At 45.6% G+C, this 23,057-nt stretch overlaps 1 protein-coding gene and 1 long non-coding RNA gene across 22 annotated transcripts in view, besides 6 other annotated features; one reads left to right on the top strand and one right to left on the bottom strand.

Annotated features, from left to right (window-relative positions):
• The window catches only part of LOC105372859 (uncharacterized), a 59,606-nt gene extending 52,161 nt beyond the window's left edge, over positions 1-7,445 (bottom strand). For all 3 annotated transcript variants that reach the window (XR_938002.3, XR_938000.3, XR_938001.3), the window contains exon 1: positions 7,062-7,445. This is a non-coding gene — a long non-coding RNA (uncharacterized LOC105372859). The remainder of the gene's footprint in view (positions 1-7,061) is intronic.
• Positions 1,835-2,334: an enhancer, noted in NCBI's record as "H3K4me1 hESC enhancer chr22:19284581-19285080 (GRCh37/hg19 assembly coordinates)". NCBI's record gives its function as "activates a minimal SCP1, AML or CMV promoter by ChIP-STARR-seq in primed H9 embryonic stem cells {active_cell/tissue: H9 hESC(primed)}" and the evidence as "EXISTENCE:reporter gene assay evidence [ECO:0000049][PMID:30033119]".
• Positions 2,335-2,836: an enhancer, noted in NCBI's record as "H3K4me1 hESC enhancer chr22:19284079-19284580 (GRCh37/hg19 assembly coordinates)". NCBI's record gives its function as "activates a minimal SCP1, AML or CMV promoter by ChIP-STARR-seq in primed H9 embryonic stem cells {active_cell/tissue: H9 hESC(primed)}" and the evidence as "EXISTENCE:reporter gene assay evidence [ECO:0000049][PMID:30033119]".
• Positions 7,555-7,794: a silencer, noted in NCBI's record as "silent region_13458". NCBI's record gives its function as "represses an Ori minimal core promoter by ATAC-STARR-seq in GM12878 lymphoblastoid cells {active_cell/tissue: GM12878}" and the evidence as "EXISTENCE:reporter gene assay evidence [ECO:0000049][PMID:35858748]".
• Positions 7,555-7,860: a biological region, named in NCBI's record as "ReSE screen-validated silencer GRCh37_chr22:19279055-19279239".
• Positions 7,673-23,057, top strand: part of CLTCL1 (clathrin heavy chain like 1) — a 112,247-nt gene continuing 96,862 nt past the window's right edge. For all 19 annotated transcript variants that reach the window (XM_047441517.1, XM_047441515.1, XM_017028954.3 and 16 more), the window contains exon 1: positions 7,673-7,792. In XM_047441517.1, coding sequence (XP_047297473.1) covers positions 7,751-7,792 — 42 coding nt within the window. In that variant the 5' untranslated portion in view covers positions 7,673-7,750. The remainder of the gene's footprint in view (positions 7,793-23,057) is intronic.
• Positions 7,676-7,860: a silencer, noted in NCBI's record as "fragment chr22:19279055-19279239 (GRCh37/hg19 assembly coordinates)". NCBI's record gives its function as "represses an EF-1alpha promoter that drives an FKBP-Casp9 reporter gene in an ReSE screen in phorbol 12-myristate 13-acetate-treated (for megakaryocytic differentiation) K562 erythroleukemia cells {active_cell/tissue: K562(+PMA)}" and the evidence as "EXISTENCE:reporter gene assay evidence [ECO:0000049][PMID:32094911]".
• Positions 7,971-8,484: an enhancer, noted in NCBI's record as "H3K4me1 hESC enhancer chr22:19278431-19278944 (GRCh37/hg19 assembly coordinates)". NCBI's record gives its function as "activates a minimal SCP1, AML or CMV promoter by ChIP-STARR-seq in naive H9 embryonic stem cells {active_cell/tissue: H9 hESC(naive)}" and the evidence as "EXISTENCE:reporter gene assay evidence [ECO:0000049][PMID:30033119]".

Below are 23,057 nucleotides of genomic sequence, written 5' to 3'. Positions count from 1 at the left end.
TGAACAATATACGAATCTCATCTAAGCCAGGGAGATTCAAAATGCAAGAGGGGTCTCACTTAGGGCTCCCATAAACTCCAGCAACAGTCTGTACTGGTACCACCTATCTGTTAGCAAAACAGCAGGAGTCAGTGGCAGAAGCTAACTTCAGGTCCCATCTGGGTCACTAGTATGTCAACCTGAAATAATTTAAAGCATCAGAATCCAGTTTAAGAGTTTATGCAAGCACAAAGTTGAGGATGAATATCCGGAAATACAGACCCCAAAGGAATGGGGTCAGTGATCCCAAGCTGAAAGGTTATGGTCTTACTTATATAGGCAGCAAACAAAGAAATTTAACAGAATTACATTTTTCATACAAGGGTAGTTTATGAGTTACTGCAACTTTATTAGTTATAGCTTGTTTTCTTTCCCAATTTAAAGGAGTATAAGAGAATATTTAACATTTTATTTTAGACAATGTGATAGTTGTGAGGTCATTGTGTAAGAGAAGAAAGAAGGAAGCTAATCTATAATGAAGATCAACAGTTAAGAGAGAAAGGGTCTTCTCTGGCATCCTTTAGTCTTTTACAACATTTTATAAAACAATGTAGGTAAAGAAAAAGCTAATCCATAATTAGAGGAACAAAGGTTACAGCTGCCTAGGTTACAGCTGCCTGTTGTATGACTTGGGCCTCATAACCACATTTCTTTAAGGTTCAAAATAATTTAAAGTTCCAACCACTTTGATTTTGAATTTCTTATTTTCACATAACAAACAACCTCAACATCTCTGTAGTTTATAATCTCATTTACTTATTTTTTCTCACTCACAGGTCAGTGGTTCAGTTGGAGTTTGGCCAATCTTAGCTAATCTTGCATCCAAGATGCAGACTGGGCTGAGATCTACTTTATACATGCCATCCTGAGCTCCAAGCTCAAAAGGCAATGGCTAGGGGGGACAAATTGTACTCACGGACACAACAGAAGTGCAAGAGTGCAATCCAAACAATGTGGGACAGTTAAATTTCTGCTCATATCACACTTCTAACATCCAATGAGCTGAAGCAAGGCACAGGGTGAAACCTGGAACCAAGGGGTGAAGAAGCACCCTCAATCCACTACAAAGCCATGGCAAGAGTGCAGAGGAATAGAACTCTTACAAGGCCTTAAGACTTGGGACCAATTATTCAATCAACTACAAATCTAACCTTTTTTATACCCCTTTCTCAGATGATGCCTGGATTACCCCAGTTCTGACTTACTATAGATTTTATATATTTAAATTCTGACTTTTTTTTTTTTTTTGAGACAGAGTTTCACTCTGTTGCCCAGACTAAAGTGCAGTGGCACGATCTTGGCTCACTGCAAGCTCTGCCTCTGGGGTTCACGCCATTCTCCTGCCTCAGCCTCCCGAGTAGCTGGGACTACAGGCGCCTGCCACCACGCCCGGCTAATTTTTTGTATTTTTAGTAGAGACGGGGTTTCACCATGTTAGCCAGGATGGTCTCGATCTCCTGACCTCGTGATCCACCGGCCTCGGCCTCCCAAAGTGCTGGGATTACAGGCCTGAGCCACCGCGCCCGGCCTAAATTCTGACATATTTTTAATCCCAGAAGGCTTTATTATTTTTGTGTCATGCAGTTAACTTTCATTTAGATTTACCAATATATACTTTTTGTTGAATTTTATCCATTCTATATCTCTGAGCTTCCACTTGAGAACATTTTATTTTGACCTGATAAAAACCCATTAGTATTTCCTTTAGTTTAGATCTTTTGGTAACAAATTTTCTCAGATCTTGTTTGTCTGCCAATGTCATTATTTTCTTTATTTTCCCTTCCATTCCCTTCTTCTCTTCTTCCTTTCCTTTCCCTTCTTCCCTCCCTCCCTTCCTTTCTCCCTTCCTTTCCCTTCCCTTTTCTTTTTTGAGACAGAGTCTCACTCTGTGTTGCCCAGGCTGGAGTGAAGTAGTGCCATCTCAGCTCACTGCAACCTCCGCCTCCCGGGTTCAAGCAATTCTCCTGCCTCAGCCTCCTGAGTAGCTGGGGCTACAGGCATGCGCCACCATGCCCAGGTAATTTTTGTATTTTTAGTAGAGACGGGGTTTTAGCACAGATGGGGTTTCGCCATGTTGGCCAGGCTGGTCTCGAACTCCTGACCTCAAGTGATCTGCCCACCTTGGCCTCCCAGAGTGCTGGGATTATAGGCGTTAGTCACCACGCCCAGCCTAATGTTGACATGGAAGTGCTGGGTAGAGAAGGATGTGGTCCCTTTAAATGCTATGGAAAAGGGGAAGGGAAGCGCTGGGTAGAGGAGGGCGTGGCCCCTGGCTAGGGCTCCACCCCCCACGGACCTAGGTGAGGACAGGCATTTTCTGCCCAAATGTTGTATTTCTCAAGACCACCCTGGCCTGCCGTGCCCCCATCCTGTGCCTATAAAAACCCCAGAGACCCTAGCTGGCAGACACACAGGTGGCTGGACGTTGAGGGGAGGGGAGCGACACACAGGTAGCTGGACATCCAGAGGAAGGCACTGACAGGAACCAGCATGCTGGTGAAGCTGAACAACGTGGAGTTTGGCTGGGGCAGTTGGAGGAGAGCCCAGGGCTGGTGAGCAGTGCAATTCCAGGGAAAATCCTTCCCACTCCATCCCCTTCTGACTTCCCTTTCAGCTTCTGCTAAGAGCTACTTCCACTCAATAAAACCTTGCACCCATTCTCCAAGCTCAGATGTGATCTGATTCTTCTGGTACACCAAGGCGAGAACCCGGGATACAGAAAGCCCTCTGTCCATGCGACAAGTAGAGGCACTAATTGAGCTGGTTAACACAAGTCGCCTATAGACGGCAAAACTAAAAGATCACCCTGTAACACACGCCCACTGGGGCTTCAGGAGCTGTAAATATTCACTCCTAGACACTGTTGTGGGGTTGGAGCCCTACAGCCTGTCCGTCCATACGCTCCCCTCGAGGTTTGAGCAGTGGGGCACTGAAGAAGCGCGCTACACCCCCATCGCATGCCCTGCAAGGGGGACAAGGGAACTTTTCCAGTTTCAACCTCATTATTTTATTTGACCACTTTGAAGATACGATTATTCTGCTTCATTGTTTGAGAAGTCAGTAGTTAAGCTTAATTATCTCTCCCTAGAAAGTAATCCATTGTTTTCCCTCTGGCTTCTTTTAAGTTTTTTTTCCCTAGTTTTGAGCTATTTCATTATGATATGCCTAAGTGTATTTTGCCTTAATTTACACATTCCAATTAAAATCTGTAATGTTTCTGGAAACTGAAGATTGATATCCTTCATTAATTTTCAAACCCTAAGCCATTATCTCTTTAGATATTGCTTCTGTCTCTTTCTCTATACTTCTAGGACTTCAGTTACCTGTATGTTAGACCTCTACATGTATCCTCTATATCTAATTTATTCATATGCTTTATTTTCTGTCCTTTTATCTCTGTGCTTTAATTTAGATATACTCTTCTGACTTAACTCTACCATCACTAGCTTTCTCTTTTCAGAGGTGTGTAATATGCTAACACTATCTGGTGAATTTTCACAATTTCAGTTCTAGAATTTCCATTTGGTTCTTTATAATTTACAGGCTTGTGATAAAATTCTTAACCTTGTCTTTTATCCTCTTAACCATATTAAGCATAATTATTTAAAAGTCTTTGTGAAAACTCCATTTTTTGATCCCCTAGAGCTCACTTGTCTGTTACTGTTCTTGTTTTTGTTTCAGATACAGGGCCTCATTCTATCACCGAGGCTAGAGTGCAGCAGTGTGATCTTGGCTCACTGCAGCCTTGACCTCCTGGGCTCAAGCCATCCTCCTGCCTCAGACTCTGGAGGTGCATGCTCAGCTAATTATTATTATTATTAGTTTTTTAGAAACAGGGTGTCACTATGTTGTCCAGGCTTGCTCTTGTTTTTTGCAACCATTTTGTCTTTTCTCCTTGGATGCCTACTTATTTTTGATTCAGTGTTGAACACTGCATATGAACAATTGTAGAAGTAATTTGAGACCATGGATGAGGTTATCATTCCCAGGGAAGATTTACATTTGCTGCTGGCAAGGACTGACATGATTTGAATGGAGTCCCAAACAACTTGTGGTCCCAAAACAGTACAGTGGGATACCTCCTTGGTGGTACCAAGCCTCCAAATTTTGTCGTCCTAGGGCAATGAGAGTGTTAAAAGTGCTGCTCAGAGTCCTAGTGTCTCAAACATTCATCTGGAATTGGCAGATGCCTTTCAAGAAAAAGCAGCCATAAACCACTCACCTCTCTCATGTCCTTTCTCTCTGATATTGGCCTCATAATTATTCACTGCCTTTTTAGTTCTCTGAAGCTGTCTGAAAACTAAAGTCCTCCAGTGACTTTTTCTTTTTTAAAGACAGGGTCTTTCTCTGTTGCCCAGGCTGGAGTATAGTGGTACGATCATAGCTTACTGTAACCTTGAGCTCATGGGCTCAAGTGATCCTCCTGTTGCAGCCTCCCAACTAGGCCTATAGACATGCATCACCATGCCCTGTTAATTTTTAAATTTTTTTGAAGAGATGGGGTTGACCAGGCTGGTCTTGAACTCCTGGGCTCAAGCAATCCTCCTACCTCAGCCTCCCAAAGCGCTGCGATTATACGCCTCCACAGACTTTTCAATTCCACCTATAGGAAAGTCCCATGGGAATTGGAATTTAGCTATAACATGTCGTTTCTTGTACCAGTTATTAAATAATGTCTTTCAGCTCTATTCTCCCTTCCCACCTCTAGACACTGCTTCTGATGCCAGGGCTGAGACTCTAAAAAACATATTTCTCATTGGCAAATAAAGAAGATCTGATCTAATATTCCCTATTAGACTAAGCTGATAGGTTGATAGAGGGAGACCACAGGGCCACTTCCTGTGAGCATCACCCCAGCTAGGCTTCTTCAACAAGGCAGCAGCACATTCTTCCCACAGAAGCTGAATCCAGTTTAAGTTTTTCCAAGACTTGCAGAACCAGCCTCAGTATGCCTTCTCCTTAGAGATCTGGGTGAGAGTCTCCCAGTGCCCTCTTTAGAGGGCTTACTCCCAGCTCCACAGCCACCCCTCATCCATAGTGTGTGTCTAAGTCCCGTAGGGACCCTCCTCAGAGGTCTGAGTCCCATCCCCATGGGATCTCTCCTCTGGGCTCAATGACCCCAGCCCCAGCTGGTCAACACACCTCCTCAGAGATCTGAATTCCAGCTCTGCAAGCCCTTCCTTTAAGCTGTAATAATTCCAGCTTCTCTTTCATCTTTGAGCTCTAGGGGTGGTAGCTGTGTCCTATGTTTGTAACTCCATATCTTGGGATTTTCTTTTTATTATTTTAAATTTACTTCCTGTTAACTATTGTTTATATTCAGTTCCCTTTGTTTAAATAACTGATGCACTTTCTCTCTCTTCTGTGGTTTGAAGGTTTGTGTCCCCTTCAAAATTAATGTTGAAACTTAATCCCGGGCCAGGCGCGGTGGCTCACACCTGTAATCCCAGCACTTTGGAAGGCCGAGGTGGATGGATCACCTGAGGCCAGGAGTTTGAGACCAGCCTGGTCAACATGGTGAGACCCTGTCTCTACTAAAAATGAAAAATTAGCCAGGTGCGGTGGCGTGCGCCTGTAGTCCCAGCTACTTGGGAGGCTGAGGCAGGAGAATGGCTGGAACCTGAGAGGCAGAGGTTGCAGTGAGCAGAGATCGTGCCACTGCACACCAGCCTGGGCGACAGAGCGAGACTCTTGTCTCAAAAAAAAAAAAAAAAAAAAAAGAATTGAAAGGTTTTTTTAGGGTTACTTAGCAAGTTACCTACAAGTGGTGAGAATATTAAAGTCCCTTTCAAGTCAGAACATTTAATTTTTTTACAAGTATATTAACAACTTTATTTCCTGTTAACTACAACTATCACTTATATTCACTTCTGTCTATTCAAATAACTGTTGTGCTTTCTGTCTCTTCTATGGTTTGAAGAGACAGAAAGATTTGTGTCTCCTCTAAAATTAATGTTGAAACTTAATCCCCACTTGAGGTCCCGACGTATTAACAATCCTGTCACTTTGCTTAACTATGATTTTCTTAAATTCTTTCTTTTAGGGTATAAAATTTTAGTTTTAATCCCCAAAAAGCCCTGGGGAAGGTGATTTAGGGAGTGATGGTATTAATTACTAAAAAATTTATATAATGTTTGGGGTAAAGGGTACTTGGAGTCACAGGCATCATTGCCAAAATAAAGAGATTTGGGAAATGTAGTACTAACCACAGCAAAACCCAGCTCTATATTTAGCGGATGAGGCCACATGGATTTTAGAAAGGGCGGGCTGCAGAGGTCTTGGCTAATACTGGAAAAGAGATTTAATTTGAAAGTGAACAGTCTGTTCTATTCCTTAACATATTTTTGGCTACTAGATGGTCAAGCCATTGCGCAAATAATTGCACCATCCTTGTCTTATTCAAGGTGGGCCGTTCATTTCTTAAAATTACCAGTGAGCAACATGGGAAGCAGCAGAGACGGCTATCGATTACCCCGTAGGGAGTGCCTGTGCTGAATGCCAAGGGCTTCCCTTTCCTGACAGACATCTTTTATGCAGCTGAATCATCTGTATGCAAAACATCAGCCAACGGTGCCTCGGAAAAACAACTGGCTGCTGGGCAAACCAGGTGTGGGCTCCAGCTTCCACCTGCTACTACTGTCGTGCAGCCACGGGCACTCTGGGTGATCCTCACTGGCCTGGGGCTGGTCATCTGCTGCTAGATGACCTTCGCTGACTCTCTACATTGATATTCCGACACAGTGTTCTCTAGAAACCGCATGAGCCAGGAAAGGTGTTTCCTAAAGGAGCAGGGGCCGAGCCTCACGCCGAAACACGTCTGTAACACGTACAGTCACGCGTCCCATGCATCCATGCATTCTGAGACATGCGTCTCGGTTGTGGGATCATCACAAGGTAACTTACACAAACTCAGATGGCACAGCCACTACACAACTAGGCAGCTGATGCGGTCCGCTGCTGCTAGGCCGCAAACCCGCACCGCGTGTGAGGTGCGTTATTCCCCTGGCACGGTAATGACATACCTGTACGTGTATCTCCAAATACAGGAGAGGAAATGTCCTTAGCTAAGCCCTCACCAGAGGACAGGAAGTTTCCAGCTCCGTTATCATGTTATGGGACCACCGTCATATACACGGTCCTCCTCAGACCAAAAGGTCGTTCGTTATACGGCACATGTGGTTCTTCCAAGACCCTTTTCCATCTTTCTGTCACATCCGTGCCTGAGTAAAAAGTGGCCCTGAACTCAACCGTCCAGAGTTGGCGGCAGAACTAGCACCACTGGCCCGCTCCACATGTGGAAGGCGCTGGGCAAGGGCCGCCGCAGACCCCATCAGGATTAATCCCCCGAAAACCTTTCACTCGGGTAGCTGGCACACACCGCGTCAGGGCAGAGGGCGCGCGGGACTACTTTCCGCGGACCCTCGGAGCGGGCGGAGGGATCCGCGCAGGCGGGACGGGGCAGAGGCGGGGGCAGGGGCGGGGGCAGGGGCGGGGGCAGGGGCGGGGCAGAGGCGGGGCAGGGGCGGGGCAGGGGCGGGGGAAGGGGCGGGGAAAGGGGGTGCGGGCCGGGGCGCGGTCAGGGAGGAGGGCGGGGGCCAGGACCGGGAGCTCGGGGCACTGCGCCTGCGCCGTCGCCACCGGTCAGCCCGCGCGAGGGGTCGGCGTTCATTCCTGCCGCTGCCGCCGCCGCCGCCGAGGTCCCGCACCAGCCATGGCGCAGATCCTCCCTGTTCGCTTTCAGGAGCACTTCCAGGTGAGGCCCGGCGGGCTGGGGGGCTGCCCTGTCAGCCGCGCCTCCGCCGGGCCGGACTGCCAGGCTTGACCCCGCGCCCCCAGCCCCGCTGAGCCGCTGCCCAGCTGGCCGCGCCGATTTCCGACCTCCCACCTGGGCTGGGGCTGCGGCGTCCCGGGCGCGGCGGCCGCTCCTGAGGACCCGCTTGGGTGCCGTCGCCGAAGCCCGTTACCGGCGGGGCCGGCTGGGGAATGGTGGGGGTGGAAGCCAACGCCCCCTGGGACGCCCCGCTCAGTGCCCGCGAGGAGGCACACAAATTCCCGCTGCAGGCAGGGCAACCCAAGGGCCGCGCGGATCCCACAGCTCCACGCCCCTCCTTGGCGTCCTGCGGTCCTTATTCGCCCCTGAGTTTGCCTCTGTGATCGGTTTTCGTCCCCAGGGCGGCTTCGCCTGGGAGGACCGTGAACATGCGTGACCCAAGAGAAAAATTTCTCAGGGCCAAGCCTAAATAGGGCTTTTCAATGCAGTAACACCCCCAAAGCCTGCCTTTTTAATAAGGTCCCAGTTTGTTCTCCATTTGTTTGTGTTCAGAAACATAAGGACTGGCCCCCTGCTTTGAGCAAAGGCTCAGGTCGGGCGTCGTGCGGGCCGCTCGCGGGTCTGCCCGGGAGCGGTGCTGGTCCCCACGTTTACCCTGGGAGGTGCGGCAGAGGAGGGATAGCCAGCGGCTCCTCCCTGAGTGCTCTGTGTTAAATCATCACACTACCATTCGTTGCGATTCGCTTACTCTTTTCTAGATGAGGAAACCGAGTCTCAAAAGTGTTAAAGAACTCATCTTCATTCAATAAGAACAGGATTCAGACTCAAGTCTTTTTGACCACAAAGTAGTACATCGAGGAACGTGCTTGCTTGAAAGTTCCTATTTTCACAGTGCAGAGCACTGTTAGCCCTAGATGCAGACGGGAAAAGCCTTGGGAACTGTGTAGTGCAGTCCAGTCCCCTCATTCTGCAGACTGGAAACTTGATATCCAGGGGATCCTGCCAGGGTCACTTGGTTAGTGACACAGTGGAAGTTGTATGGAGGTGGGAGTGCCCTGACATCTGTCCGGGCTTCATTCTGCCACTAAGCTAAGCCAGCACCAGTCATGTTGAGGTAGCAAAATACTGCTGCTGCTCATAATAATGATGATGATGTAGTTATCATTTACTGAGCCGTTTCTCTTGCCACTCACTAGACTACTGTATTTTATAAATCTGGTTTAATTTAATCCTCATGATAACTGAGGCAGATAGTGATATCCTGTTTTCTACCATGGGTCACTGAGGTTAATATTCTAATTCCTTCAGCAAAAGTTACATGGCTAGTAAGTGACAAAGCTTGAGTTCTAACCCAGGTCTGATTCCAATGCCTGTGCTTAACCACTATCTAAATATGTTCTTTTCAAAGGGCAAGAAAGCAACAAGATATTTTAGGTGTCCATCAGAGTTTCTAATGTCCATCAGGATTTGTAATGTCCATCAGAGTTGATATGTTCCATTATCTGGAAAATGCTTGTGGCTTGTGGTGGGCAGCCACGTGAATGCAAGTCTGGTTTGTGGTCTCTAACACTGACTGGGTCTTTGAGGCTGCTGTGCATTCTGTAGAGCAAACACTGAGTCAGCACACACTGCCTTCACTACAGACATTTCGAGACTTCAGCCTGTTCCTTAAATCCCTGATCCTGCCACTCCTGCCTTGCAACCAGCAGATGACTTGGAGAAAACTGAAGCCATAACTGGGATGTTTCTCACCTATATGGCTGCAGACTTAGATGTTTGTCTGCAGCCACCCTTTCCTGCCTTCCTGTTACCTCAAAAGTAGGTGTCCTTTCTTGTCTATGTTCTGGATCTGGTATCCTTCTTCCCTATAAGGGAGCCTCGTTCAGTCATAGCCTCCCTTTCCTGTATTTTCATCCTTCTGTCTTGTTGTTTCTTCCTGTTTGTGTTGGGCAATGCTCACCTCTCTTCCATCTGTACAACCAGCAAACTTCTTCCCCCGCTCTTGTCCCCACGAAGCTCTTGTCTCATAGCTGGATGTCATGAAAGAGCTGCTTTAGTGCTTCATTATTTTTATGTTCCACAGTAACCTGCAGTCTGGCTTTTGTCCCCATTTTTTCCCCTGAATCTGTTTTTGCCAAGGTTACAAGCCATCCTGCAGGCTTTTTTGTAAGGGCCACATTCTGTCTCTGTCCCATATTCTTACATTTTTTAACCTTCTAAAAATATGAAAAAGACTTTTAGTTTAGCCATACAAAAGCAGGCTGCAGTTGGCTAATCTTTGCTGTAAAAAATAAAATCAGGCCGAGCATGGTGGCTCACACCTGTAATCCCACCACTTTGGGAGGCCGAGGCGGGTGGATCACCTGAGATCAGGAGTTCGAGACCAGCCTGGCCAACATGGTGAAACCTCGTCTCTACTAAAAATACAGTATTAGCCGGGCGTGTTGGTACGCACCTGTAGTCCCAGCTAGTCAGGAGGCTGAGGCGGGAGAATCTCTTGAACCCGGGAGGCAGAGGTTGCAGTGAGCCAAAATCATGTCACTACTCTCCAGCCTGGGTAACAGACCGAGACTCCGTCTCAAAAAATAAGATGCGATGAGCTAGGTGAGATAAAGCCCATCACACCACACGCATCTTCTGTGATGTCCAGCCGCATTTGATGCTGCACTTTACTGCCTCCTGAGGGTCCTTTCTCTACTGTTTTTGGTTCCACAGTTTCCCAGGGTTTCTCCTTCCTCTCTGCCCACACCCACTGCCCCATGGGCGGCTCTTGTGCATGAGCTTGGAATCTGTCTTGAGCCCCTCTGCTTTTTCATTCAGGACATGCTGCTGGTGATGTTATGTATTCCCATAAGCTTGATGTTCCCAAGCCATCCGAGTGTTTTCGCAGTTTCACTGCTGTGTGTGTGTGAGGCAGTAGCAGGTCCTGGTTAAGAGCACAGACTGAGGCCAAACTGAAGGCACTGAATGTGGACTCAGGCACTTACTGGCTGTGTGATTTAGGGCAATGTTTGTAGCTTTTTTGTGCTTCTATATCTTCATCTATAAAATAAGGATAAAAGGTATACTTCTTATCTCACAAGGTAGTTGTGAGGTTTTTGAGTTAATAAATGTAAAGCATTAAACAATAACTGTTACATAATACAGTAGTCCCGATTTACCCATGGGGAATATGTTCTAAGACCCCCAGAGGATGCCTGAAACTGCAGATTGTTCTGAACCCTTTATACACTTTTTTTCCCTATGCATACATATGTATGATAAAGCTGAATTTATGTTAAGCACAGTAAGAGATTAACAATGATAACTAATAATAAAACAGAACAATAATAACAATATGCCAGCATCACTACTGTTGGACTTTGGGGCCATTATTAAGTAAATTAAGGGTTACTTGAACACAAACTCTGTGATGCTGCAACAGTCAACCTGGTAACTGACCGCTACTAAGTGACTAATGGGCTGGCAATGTCTACAGCGTGGATATGCTGGGCAGAGGAGGGATAATTCACGTCCTGGGTGGGCTGGTGCAAGATTTCATCACTCTGCAGAATGGTATGCAATTTAAAACTTATGAATTGTTTATTTCTGGGGTCTTACATTTAATATTTTCAGACTATAGGTAACAGTGTGAAAAAAACCACGGATAAGAAGGGACTACTGTAAAGCACTGTGTCCTTGTGAGCTGTTGCTGCCATTGTGACAGCTGCCTACTGAAGAAGGCCAGGAAATGGTCAGCAGGTTCCTCAAACACAGTGTTCATAAATGGGGTTCCCTTTCTCCCCAGATGTGTATCTTGTCCAGTGTCCAGCCAGGAGCCTGGGATGTGTTTTCCCCATCCTGTTGTCCCTTTCTCCTGTTTACTTTTGGCATCGTTCTGCCACTGTCATCATGACTACCGTTTCCCTAAACTATGCCATCCCTCCCCACCTTGATGGTCATGCTAGCTTTGTCCTTCTACTTCTAGTCTTGCCCTCCTGTGATCCATTCTCCAGCACACAGGCAACATGATCTCCAAGGATGAGCATCTGCTTAAAGTCCTTCAGGGAGTGGTTTCGTGTTTCCTCTGGCATGAAAAGACTGATCCCCACGTGCTCTTTCCTGTTCTTCCCAGCCCAACACCTGCTCAACTCTGCTGCCGCTCCCTTTGTGTCCTTGCCAAAACACATTCTCCTCTCACCCCTCTTTACTCACTGACTCCTACTGAGCCTTCTGGTATCTGTGGAAATGACGCTGTCTCTGGAAGCTCTCCCTGATTTGTCAGTTAGGAGTTCTTCCTCTGTGCCTCTTTGGGGTTCCTCTTATAATGACACTCTTCCCAGGGTACTGTAGCTGTTCATTTTCTCTGCTGGATTGTGAGCTCAGGGAGCTACCATTTGAACTTTTTAGAAATATTCAAATGTGAGAGTTGGAAGGGTATTGCTGTTTGTAATATCTGAGGATGGGCTGAGCACTTAAGACATCTTGATTCAGAAGAGGAATGGCTGAATAGTTTGGTGACATAAAAATTTTCTTGAGCCCTAAGTAATTCCCCCCAGCTATATCAAAAAAGCAGCTCCAAGTTTGTAAGCTGTGAAATGTGTCATAGCTCAATACACAGAAAACGTAAACATGTTCCCTCAAAGTGTCTCTGAGGCGGTGTTTGAAACAGGTGTAGAGACCTTGAGCATTAGAATTGTAGGAGAAAGATGGTCAAGATCTTAATCAGTGCTTCTCTACCTAGGCTGCATGTGAGAATGGCCTGCAGCCTTAAACATATTTCTGCTGGATGTTAAATCCAAAGCTCTGAGTGGTGGAGATGGAGCTTTGGTATTCCTTCCCAGGTGAGTCTTACACACAGCCCAGGTGAAACAGCCTTCTACATGTTAGTCAATATTAATCATTAAGGAAAGAGGGGGGAAAGTAAAACTGTGAAGGTGTAGATTGAGCTTGAACTGAAAACAGTTCCCATCCACACACACCCGTGTGTGTCTGGAGAGGCTTCTGGGGGTCATGCTCCAAAAAGGGACACGTACCCATAGTAATCCAGTCCATATTTGGTTTATGTTGCCATTATGTAGCTATCTCATTTTGTGAAGTGGTTTTTGATGTACTAAGACAGCAGTTGGCTCATTGCATCCTAAAATTATTGCATCCCATGTAAAATGTCATTTTAAGATACCATGTAAACTGTTAAATTTTGCCTGTTGGCCTACCACTGCTTCTGGTATTGGAAATACATACTGGCCAGTTAGTTGCCTTCTGACTTGTTTATTTACAAAGCAAGGAGAGTAACCTGCCTCAGCCAGGGTGTCTGCGAGGGTGAGCCTTGTGGGAGTACCTACCGCTGTGGCATTGTGGGTGACCAAAGAGTAAATGAATTTGAATGGGGACTCTTTGGAAAAACAGATCTTCACCATAGAACATTTAAATGTTCAGAATGCCTAAGCTACACAAACCAGTGCTTTTTTAGTTGGTTGGGTTGAAAGAATTAAGTCCTAGGAGGATCTGAGTCAAGGTTCCTCTCTGCTGAGATATTTCTGTTGCAGGGGCTAGTCTGATGGGAATTAAAATCTTTCAGTTCAGCCTCTGTCTGTCTCTCCCCAGGGGAAACCACTATAAACGAAGCCACCATATCCTTCCAAAAATGTTCAAAAGAATCCTGCTTTAAATATGCTTCTGCCCTTTGCTTTTGTAACTTAACACACTGAAGATCCTCCCATAGGATCACAGACAGATCACTGCATCTATCTGACATGTTGTTTATCAGTATTCCCTAGGGTAGTAGTTGCTGGCACCCTGTCACCCCCTTCTCTAAGGGGGAATCTTTCTGCAATCTGTCTGATTTTTCCTTCCTTTGCTTCTTCACTGAGACTTTACTGAGTTTGCAGGCTCTTCTCCCACATTTTCTTCCACTTCTCTTGAGGCCTGCTGCTGGCCTCCATGCCAGAGAGATGACCATCACTCTTGGCAGGCTGAAGAAGGATGCCACAAAGCTGGGATAGCAAAGTTCAGTGATGAAATTAGAATCGGATATATCTTGACAGGCCAGAATCCAGCTAGTTGACATTTAACTGGGATAAATATAGAGTCTTGTGCACTGGTGTTAAAATAAAGAAAACCTGTAATAGTGTAATTTGAGAGAAGTTCTGTAAAGCATTATATAAATGTAGTTAACTATCCCTGAACTAACCTACTCCTGGAATGTAAGTTCTGGAAGAGACCTTAGTGTCAACATTCTTCATAGGCCCTCATTTACAGAGCTCCCTCTTTAGGCTAGGAAAGGCTCTTTGGTAAGTTTCTTTTTCTTTTTCTTTTTCTTTTTTTTAAGATGGAGTCTTGTTCTGTTGCCCAGGCTGGAGTGCAGTGGCACAATCTCGGCTCACTGCAACCTCTGCCTCCAGGGTTCACGCCATTCTCCTGCCTCAGCCTCCCGAGTAGCTGGGACTACAGGCACCCACCACCACGTCCAGCTAATTTTTTATATTTTTAGTAGAGACAGGGTTTCACCGTGTTAGCAAGGATGGTCTCGATCTCCTGACCTTGTGATCCGCCTGCCTCGGCCTCCCAAAGTGCTGGGATTACAGGCGTGAGCCACCGCGCCCAGCGTGTTTCAAATATAAAATGTGTTTTTTATTTTATTTTCTTGAGACAGAGTCTCGCTCTGTCCACCAGGCTGGAGTGCAGTGGCATGATCTCAGCTCACTGCAGCCTCTGCCTCCCCGGTTCAAGCGATTCTCCTGGCTTCAGCCTCCTGAGTAGCTCGGACTACAGGTGCGTGCCACCATGCCTGGCTAATTTTTGTATTTTTAGTAGAGATGGGGTTTCACCATGTTGGCCAGGATGGTCTTAATCTCTTGACCTCGTGATCCGCCCACCTCAGCCTCCCAAAGTGCTGGGATTACAGGTGTGAGCCACTGCACCCAGCCCATTTATTTTTTTGAAACAGAGTTTCACTCTTGTTGCCCAGGCTGGAATGCAATGGCGTGGTCTTGGCTCACTGCAGCCTCCGCTTCCCGTGTTCAAGTGATTCTCCTGTTTCAGCCTCCCAGGTAGCTGGGATTATAGGTGCCCGCCACCACACCCAGCTGATTTTTGTATTTTTATAGAGATGGGGTTTCATTATGTTGGCCAGGCTGGTCTCCAACTCCTGACCTCAGGTGATCCACCCGCCTCGGCCTCCCAAAGTGCTGGTATTACAGGCGTGAGCAGCCACGCCAGGCCCTCAAAGTATGTTTTAAAAACTGTAGATGAACTAAATTTTACTGCCCTGAAACAAGTAATTTGTTTTACTATTTGTTTACCATCCATATGCTAGGCACAAGGATAAAGCAGTGAGTGAGACTGGGAAGGAGACAGATACAGAAAGAAAAAATATTGGTGTCCACATAGGTGTGAAAACATGGGGATGTTCAGTGCAACTTAAGCATTCTGGCTTCACTGATGTAGGCAGTTGATGTTCTCACTAATACTCTTGTACAAACACAGTTGTAGTCCTCCCAGGCAGACATCTTCCTTAAGCCCCTTATACATAGAAACCACAGGACTATCAGATGAGTAATTTCTTTTTGCATATTCCCCAGTGTCAGATTTTTTTTTTTTTTTTTTTTTGAGACAGGGTCTGTCTCTGTCACCCAGGCTGGAGTGCAGTGGCACAATCTTGGCTCATTCCAGCCTCTGCCTCCTGGTTTCAAGCGATTCTTGTTCCTCAGCCTCCTGAGTAGCTGGGACCACAGGCGTGTGCCACCATGCTCAGCTAAGTTTTTTATTTTTACTAGAGACAGGGCTTCACCATGTTGACCAGGCTGGTCTCGAATTCCTGACCTCCAGTGATCTACCCGCCTCGGCCTCCCAAAGTGCTGGGATTACAGGCATGAGCCACCATGTCTGGCCCCCATTGTCAGATTTGAATTTTGATTGATTTAATTGCAGGCTTTGAGAACTGAAAAGGATCATTAGACAGCATCTTCTTTACCTTTCTTTAGTTAAATCTTATATATGCCATTTAAAATGTGTAGCTAAGGTCCAGTGCAGTGGTGCATGCCTGTAATCTCAGCACTTTGGGAGGCCGAGGAAAGTGGATCACTTGAGACCAGGAGTTCAAGACCAGCCTGGCCAACATGGCAAAACCCTGTCTCTACTAAAAATACAAAAATTAGCCAGGTGCAGTGGCGGACACCTGTATTCCCAGCTACTTGGGAGGCTGAGGCATGAGAATCGGTTGAGTGTGGGAGGCAGACTTTGCAGTAAGCCAAGATTGCACCACTGCACTCCAGCCTTGGCGACAGAGCAAGACTCTGTCTCAAAAGAAAGAAAAAAAGAAAGAAAATTTTTTTAAAAATGTGTAGCTAGGTTACCTATCAGAATAATATACTAGGGATCAGGAATCCTTGGTTATTTCTACTAACTAGTGAAAAAAAAAACAAACCTGGGCCAGGCCCTGTGGCTCACGCCTATAATCCCAGCACTTTGGGAGGCCGAGGCGGGTGGATCACTTGAAGTCAGGAGTTTGAGACCAGTCTGGCCAATGTGGTGAAACCCCGTCTCTACTGAAAATATGAAAATTAGCCAGGCGTGGTAGTGGGCACTTGTAGTCCCAGCTACTTGGGAGGCTGAGGCTGGAGAATCACTTGAACTGGGGAGGCAGAGGTTGCAATGAGCCGAGATGGTGCCACCACTGCACTCCAGCCTGGGTGACAGAGTAAGACTCTGTCTAAAAAAAAAAAAAAAAGGAAAGAAAGAAAGAAAAAACCTGGCTTTTCAGCACATCACTTTTCTGGGACTTAGTTCCTGCGTATGGAGAAAAACTCACAGTAGTATCTGGCATCTTAGATGGAAAAGTTATTTTTGTGGGATTGTCCTGTATTGAGCATTCCTGGCTAAATGAGTAGAGAATGAGTTCCCCACTCATTGTACTATTAAAACTACCCTTGCCCATTTCTTTTTTTCTTTTTCTTTTTCTTTTTTTTTTTTTGAGACAGAGTCTCGCTCTGTCGCCCAGGCTGGAGTGCAGTGGAGTGATCCTGGCTTGCTGCAGCCTCCACCTCCTGGGTTCTCCTGCCTCGGCCTCCTGAGTAGCTGGGATTACAGGCACATGCCACCAGGCCTAGCTAATTTTTGTATTTTTAGTGGAGACGGGGTTTCACCATGTTGGCCAGGCTGGTCTTGAACTCCTGATCTCAAGTGATCCACCCGTCTTGGCCTCCCAAAGTGCTGGGATTACAAGCGTGACCCACTGCGCCCGAACCCATTGCCTATTTCTTTTTTTTTTTTTGAGACGGAGTCTTGGCTCTGTCGCCAGGCTGGAGTGCAGTGGCGCGATCTTGGCTCACTGCAGCCTCCGCCTCCTGGGTTGAAGCAATTCTCCTGCCTCAGCCTCCCGAGTAGCTGAGACTACAGGTGCACGCCACCATGCCTGGCTAATTTTTGTGTTTTTAGTAGAGACGGGGTTTCACCATATTGGCCAGGATGGTCTCCATCTCTTGACCTTATGATCTGCCCACCTCGACCTCCCAAAGTGCTAGGATTATAGGCGTGAGCCACCGTGCCCGGCCGCCCCTTTCCCATTTCTGAAGAATGCAGAATAGCACTCCTGGTTGAGAACTACTGTCTTAATTTAATCTGATTCTAATAGTCTTTATCTTATTTTTGGATCCACTCTTCTCAGTTGTTAAAACACTGTCTTATTTGTGAGGGACTTTTACCTTTTTCAAATGCCATACATGTGTATGTATGCTCTTAGATAAGGAACTTGACTCAGCTACTATTATTTAAGAACCCACTATGCTCAAGAGATTGGATACAAATTATTCAGGATTACCAATTCTTGGTATTTGGAGTTGAAATCAGAATGTCACCGTATTAACCCAACATCGATCCCCAAACTGAGAACAAAAGGACAATTTAGAAAACCCAGGCCCACTTCAGTGCACTGCTCTGTCTGGAGAGCATCCAGTCCTATCCTGCTAAAGCCGGAAAATCCAGATAGGTAGACAAGACCAAGAATGATTGCTTACCAATACGTGGCCAGCTTTGATTTACTTACGTCTCCGATCACTGCCAAATTTTATTGAGGCCAATTCCAGACATCTTGTTTTATCCTTAAACACTTTAGGATGTGTCACCAAGAGAGAACTCTTTGTTATTTTTTTCCAAGTTTTAAAATTGTGGTAAAATATACATAACATAAAATTTATCATCTTAACCATTTTTAGGTGTATATTTTAGCGATATTAAGTACATTCAAATTGTTATGCAGCCATCACCACCATCCATCTCCAAAACTCTTTTCTTTTTTTTTTTTTTTTTGAGACAGGGTCTCGCTCTGTCGCCCAGGCTAGAGTGCAGTGGTGCAATCTCGGCTCACTGCAAGCTCTGCCTCCTGGGTTCACGCCATTCTCCTGCCTCAGCCTCCTGAGTAGCTGGGACTACAGGCACCCACCACCATGCCTGGCTAATTTTTTTGTATTTTTTTTTAGTAGAGACAGGGTTTCACTGTGTTAGCCAGGATGGTCTCGATCTCCTGACCTCGTGATCTGCCCGCCTCGGCCTCCCAGAGTGCTGGGATTACAGGTGTGAGCCGCCGCGCCCGGCCCACAACTCTTTTCATCTTGTAAAATGGGTGCTCCATACCTGTTAAGAAATGACTCCCCATTCACACTCCTCCCCCCAACCCCATCTACTTTTTGTCTCTATAGATTTGACTCTTCTACATACTGGATATAAATGGAATCATACAATATTTGTCTTTTTGTGTGACTGTCTTTTTTTTTTTTTTTTTTTTTGAGATGGAGTCTCGCTCTGTTGCCCAGGCTGGAGTACAGTGGCACAATCTCAGCACACTGCAACCTCCACCTCCTGGGTTCAGGTGATTCTCCTGCCTCCGCCTCCCAAGTAGCTGGGATTACAGGCGCCCGCCACTATGCCTGGCTAATTTTTGTATTTTTGATAGAGACAGGGTTTCACCGTGTTGGCCAGGCTGGTCTCGATCTCCTGACCTCAAGCGACCCACCCGCCTCAGCCTCCCAAAGTGCTGGAATTACAGGCGTGAGCCATCTCACCAGACCTTGGTTTTTTTTTACTTAGCATAATGACCTCAAGGTTCATTCATGTTGTAGCATGTGTCAGAATTTCCTTCCTTTTTAAGGCTGAATAATACTCCTATTGCATGTGTATAACACATTTTGCTTATCTATTCATCCATTGATATACACTAATAATTCTTTATTTTTTAACTCTAATAACATCACACCTAAAAAAAAAAAATCAGTAGTTTCTCAGTATCATCCAGTATCTTGTCAGTGTTGTTTCTCTATTTGTTTCAAATGCTTTATTTGAATCAGCATCCAAAGAAGGCCTATGCATTGCATTTGGTTGACATTTTATGTATTAGAGCTGCTTTTTGAAGCAAGCTTTGATCTTTTTTTTATACTTAACACAAATGTATTTTATTTGTGTACATTTATCTTTTTAATTTCATAGTCCTTTCAAATCTGTTAAGATTCTGATTGTTACTCTAGTATATTGACAGTCTCAAAGCATAACCTTAGCCGATAAAACAGTCCCTGTATATGACTTTGGTTAGAGTCATTATTCAGAATATTGACTAGCAGGTGATTAAGGTCAGAGCTCTGGGCCCTGGCAGCAGACAGACAGATCCATGTGGCCAGCACCACTGAGGTGCAGTTCAGCTGTGGACACAAGCTCACCTCATGCTTTTCTACCTCATTCCAAGAGTCTTTTGTTTCATACATTGTTTGGGCTTTTATGTGCTAAATGTTTTGATGGATTCAAAATGAATTTGACTCTGAGAAGAAACAAGAGATTAAGTAAATATGAATAACTAACACAAAGCGCAAAGCTCTCTATTCTATAAGCATGCCACAGATAAAAGGCTTGGGGTAGGGGACTGATTATCCGTGAAAGTTACTTTGGCTACCTCAGCAGAGGTAAGCCAGATACTTTGCTGAAATGAAGATTTATTCTATCACATTTACTTGGCTTCAAGAAAATTAGATTGGTTTGGCATGACTTCTTAGTGAGCCCATATTGATTGCAGGTATTCATGTTTTTCTTTTCAAAGGGCTCACAAATCTGATGGATAATGTTGTAGAATTTGGAGGGGAAACCTCAGATGCAGCAGTCTTATCTTCTGGAATCCCACTGTCCTCTGTTTTGTTAATAAATATTGTAAATCCTAGCACTTTGGGAGGCCAAGGCAGGCAAATTACTTGAGGTCAGGAGTTCGAGACCAGCCTAGCTAATATGGTGAAACCCCATCTCTACTAAAAATTACAAAAATCAGCCGAGCGTGGTGGCGCATGCCTGTAGTCCCAGCTACTCGGGAGGGTGAGGCAGGAGAATTGCTGGAACTCGGGAAGCGGAGGTTGCAGTGAACCAAGATTGTGCCATTGCACTCCAGGATGGGCGTCGCAGCGAGACTGTCTCAAATAAATAAATAAATACATAAATACATAAATACTGTAACTTCTAGGGCATTTATATTATTCTATTTTTCAGGATTTTTCTATTAATTGCAGACAGAGTAAATAACACTAATCTATCCAGTTGTGGTGGCTCAAGCCTGTAATCCCAGCACTTTGGGAGGCCAAGGCAGGTGGATCACCACAAGTCAGGAGTTCGAGACCAGCCTGGCCAACATGGTGAAACCCCGTCTCTACTAAAAATACAAAAAATAGCTGGGCGTGGTGGTGAGTGCCTGTAATCCCAGCTACCCAGGAGGCTGAGGCTGGAGAATCGCTTGAACCCGGGAGGTGGATGTTGCAGTGAGCCGAGATCACGCCACTGCACTCCAGCCTGGGGGACAGGGCTAGACTCCGTCTCAAAAACAAAGCAAAACAAAAACCCCACTAATCTGATCTGTGTCCTCCAGGAATTTATGACCTTGGATGTTGTTGTATAAGCCAGCAGGGAACTAAACTAGGAGAGGATGATGGAATTTGAACATGGCTCATTTGTGAAAAAGGTGGTGAGACTGGGAGGTTTTCTTTGGTTGTGATAATGTGGTTTCCTGGTTTACTAAGTATCAGTGGTTGTGCTTATGGGGCTTCTGTTATCTTTTATTCTTGGTTTACTTAAATATGTTAACTTTACTTAAGTAAATTATGTCCATCTTCATGGGCTGCTCTTCTGCCTGCCTTCTAAGCCTTGGTGTGTCCTGGGGCTCTGTGCCCTGGGCTTCCAAACCATTCTCTCACTTTTCACGGTCTCTCTTGGTGCTTCCGTCCAGTTTCATGACTTCGCCTGCCACAAATGACCCCCATGTTCTTATTTTGGGGCTTGAATTTTTTTTTAGACTTACAAAATGTTAAGCAATATAATACCTAAGAAAATTCCAAAAGTAACAAGTGCTGAGGACGGCAGGCCCTACCAGATGTTACAAAACCTCCATAAATAAAATAATGTGGTGCTGATGTGTAGATAGATGTCGGGAGCTCCATGATAGCTGAACACATGGAGGTCCCTGAAGAGCGGTGTGCTGGGAGAGGCAAGGACACCCCTCGCGCCTTTCTCTATGCGCCTCTTCCATCTGGCGGTTCATCAGTATCCTTTGTAATATCCCTTGTAATAAATGAGAAACGTGTTTCCTTGAGTTCTGTTAGCCACTCCAACAAATTAGTCAAACCCAGGAAGAAGGTCATGGGAACCCTGCTTTATAGCTGGATGGTCAGAAGTACAGGCCACAGCCTGGGGCTTGCGATTAGTGTCTGAAGTGTAGTCAGTCTTATGGGACTGAGCCCTCAACCTGTGGGATCTGATACTATTTCCAGGTAGATATTGTCAGAATTGAATTAAATTGTAGGATAACTAGGTGGTGTCTGCTGGAGAAACCCCCCCACATCTGGCGTTGGCAGTCTTGTGTTGAGTGATGTGTGAGAACAGGAAAAATACTTAGGTTTTTCCTATGCTTAATAAACCACTCCTAGCATTATTTTCCTTGCTATAACCCAACGTTGGAACATGAAGGGACTTTCTTGTAATAATGGCAATATCAATTGGCAAGTTCTATTTTTTAAAAAACTATTTCACTACAGTTATGAAGTAATGTTTTGTTTTTTTGCTGTTATATGTGTTTTTGTTTGTTTTGGTGGACTCATTTGGGAACATAATCACCACTTAGTTTATCTTTTCTGTGTTAAAATGGAATATGAATTTCAAACAACTCAGTATTGTGGTCAGAACACAGGCTTTATTATACCTGGCTCCATCATTAATCAGCTTTGTAATTTCTGAAAGATTTCTTAACCCCAACACTTTGTTTTTCCCAAGTGTAAAGTGTGTGTGAGATGCTTGTCTCAGTGGGTTAACAGGAAGATGAGATGAGGTGACTTGTTGTCCTGTAGCCTGCTCCACTCAGCAGCTGGAACATCCAGTATGTGCTAGACTCTGCTACAAAAGACAAACAAGGCACCGTCCTGAATTATACTCTCAGTATGAACAGTCTCACTTGTGTTCCTTCCAAAGGGTGGTGCAATTTTAATGCAGCGGTCCATGATCTTTGTTGCTAGTGTGAGCCTCTTCAAGGTTACACAAGGTAACAGATGTTAAGTGGTCCAATCAGTAGCAGTAGAATTGGGGCTGAACAGAACAGTGTTTAAAAATAAAGGTGTCGACCAGACGCGGTGGCTCACGCCTGTAATCCCAGCGCTTTGGGAGGCCAAGGAGGGCGGATCACGAGGTCAGGAGATTGAGACCATCCTGGCTAACACGGTGAAACCCCGTCTCTACTAAAAAAAAATACAAAAAATAGCCAGGCGTGGTGGCGGGCGCCTGAAGCCCCAGCTACTTGGGAGGCTGAGGCAGGAGAATGGCGTGAACCCGGGAGGCGGAGCTTGCAGTGAGCCGAGATCGCACCACTGCACTCCAGCCTGGGCAACAGAGCGAGACTCCGGCTCAAAAAATAAATAAATAAATAAGTAAATAAGTAAATAAAGGTGTCTTGTAGGTAGGTCAGAGCAGAGAAATTTATAGAAATAAGCTTGGTGCTTTGTGGGAGTGATAAACATTTATTGAGTATGTGTTTTCCCAGAGTTTTTCACTGAAGCTTATCCCATTAGCAGGTCTTGATTTAGCCCAGGCACTGCGTATAAGATGGCCTTTGGAGAAAGGTGCTTGGTTTCAGTTTACACAGTAGTAGCAGTCCATCGGCCCTGGAAGATGTGCCAAACCTGCTGACTTTCTTATTAACCCCAGACTCTCCAGGAAGTATTCACACTGACTTAGAAATTCATTCAAGTCAGATGTAGAC

This window comes from Homo sapiens, chromosome 22 (genome assembly GCF_000001405.40).
Source record: "Homo sapiens chromosome 22, GRCh38.p14 Primary Assembly".
NCBI classification, from domain to species: Eukaryota; Metazoa; Chordata; class Mammalia; order Primates; family Hominidae; genus Homo; species Homo sapiens.
The sequence above is the reverse complement of the archived record's forward strand: the minus strand, read 5'-3'. Positions and strand labels throughout refer to the sequence as shown.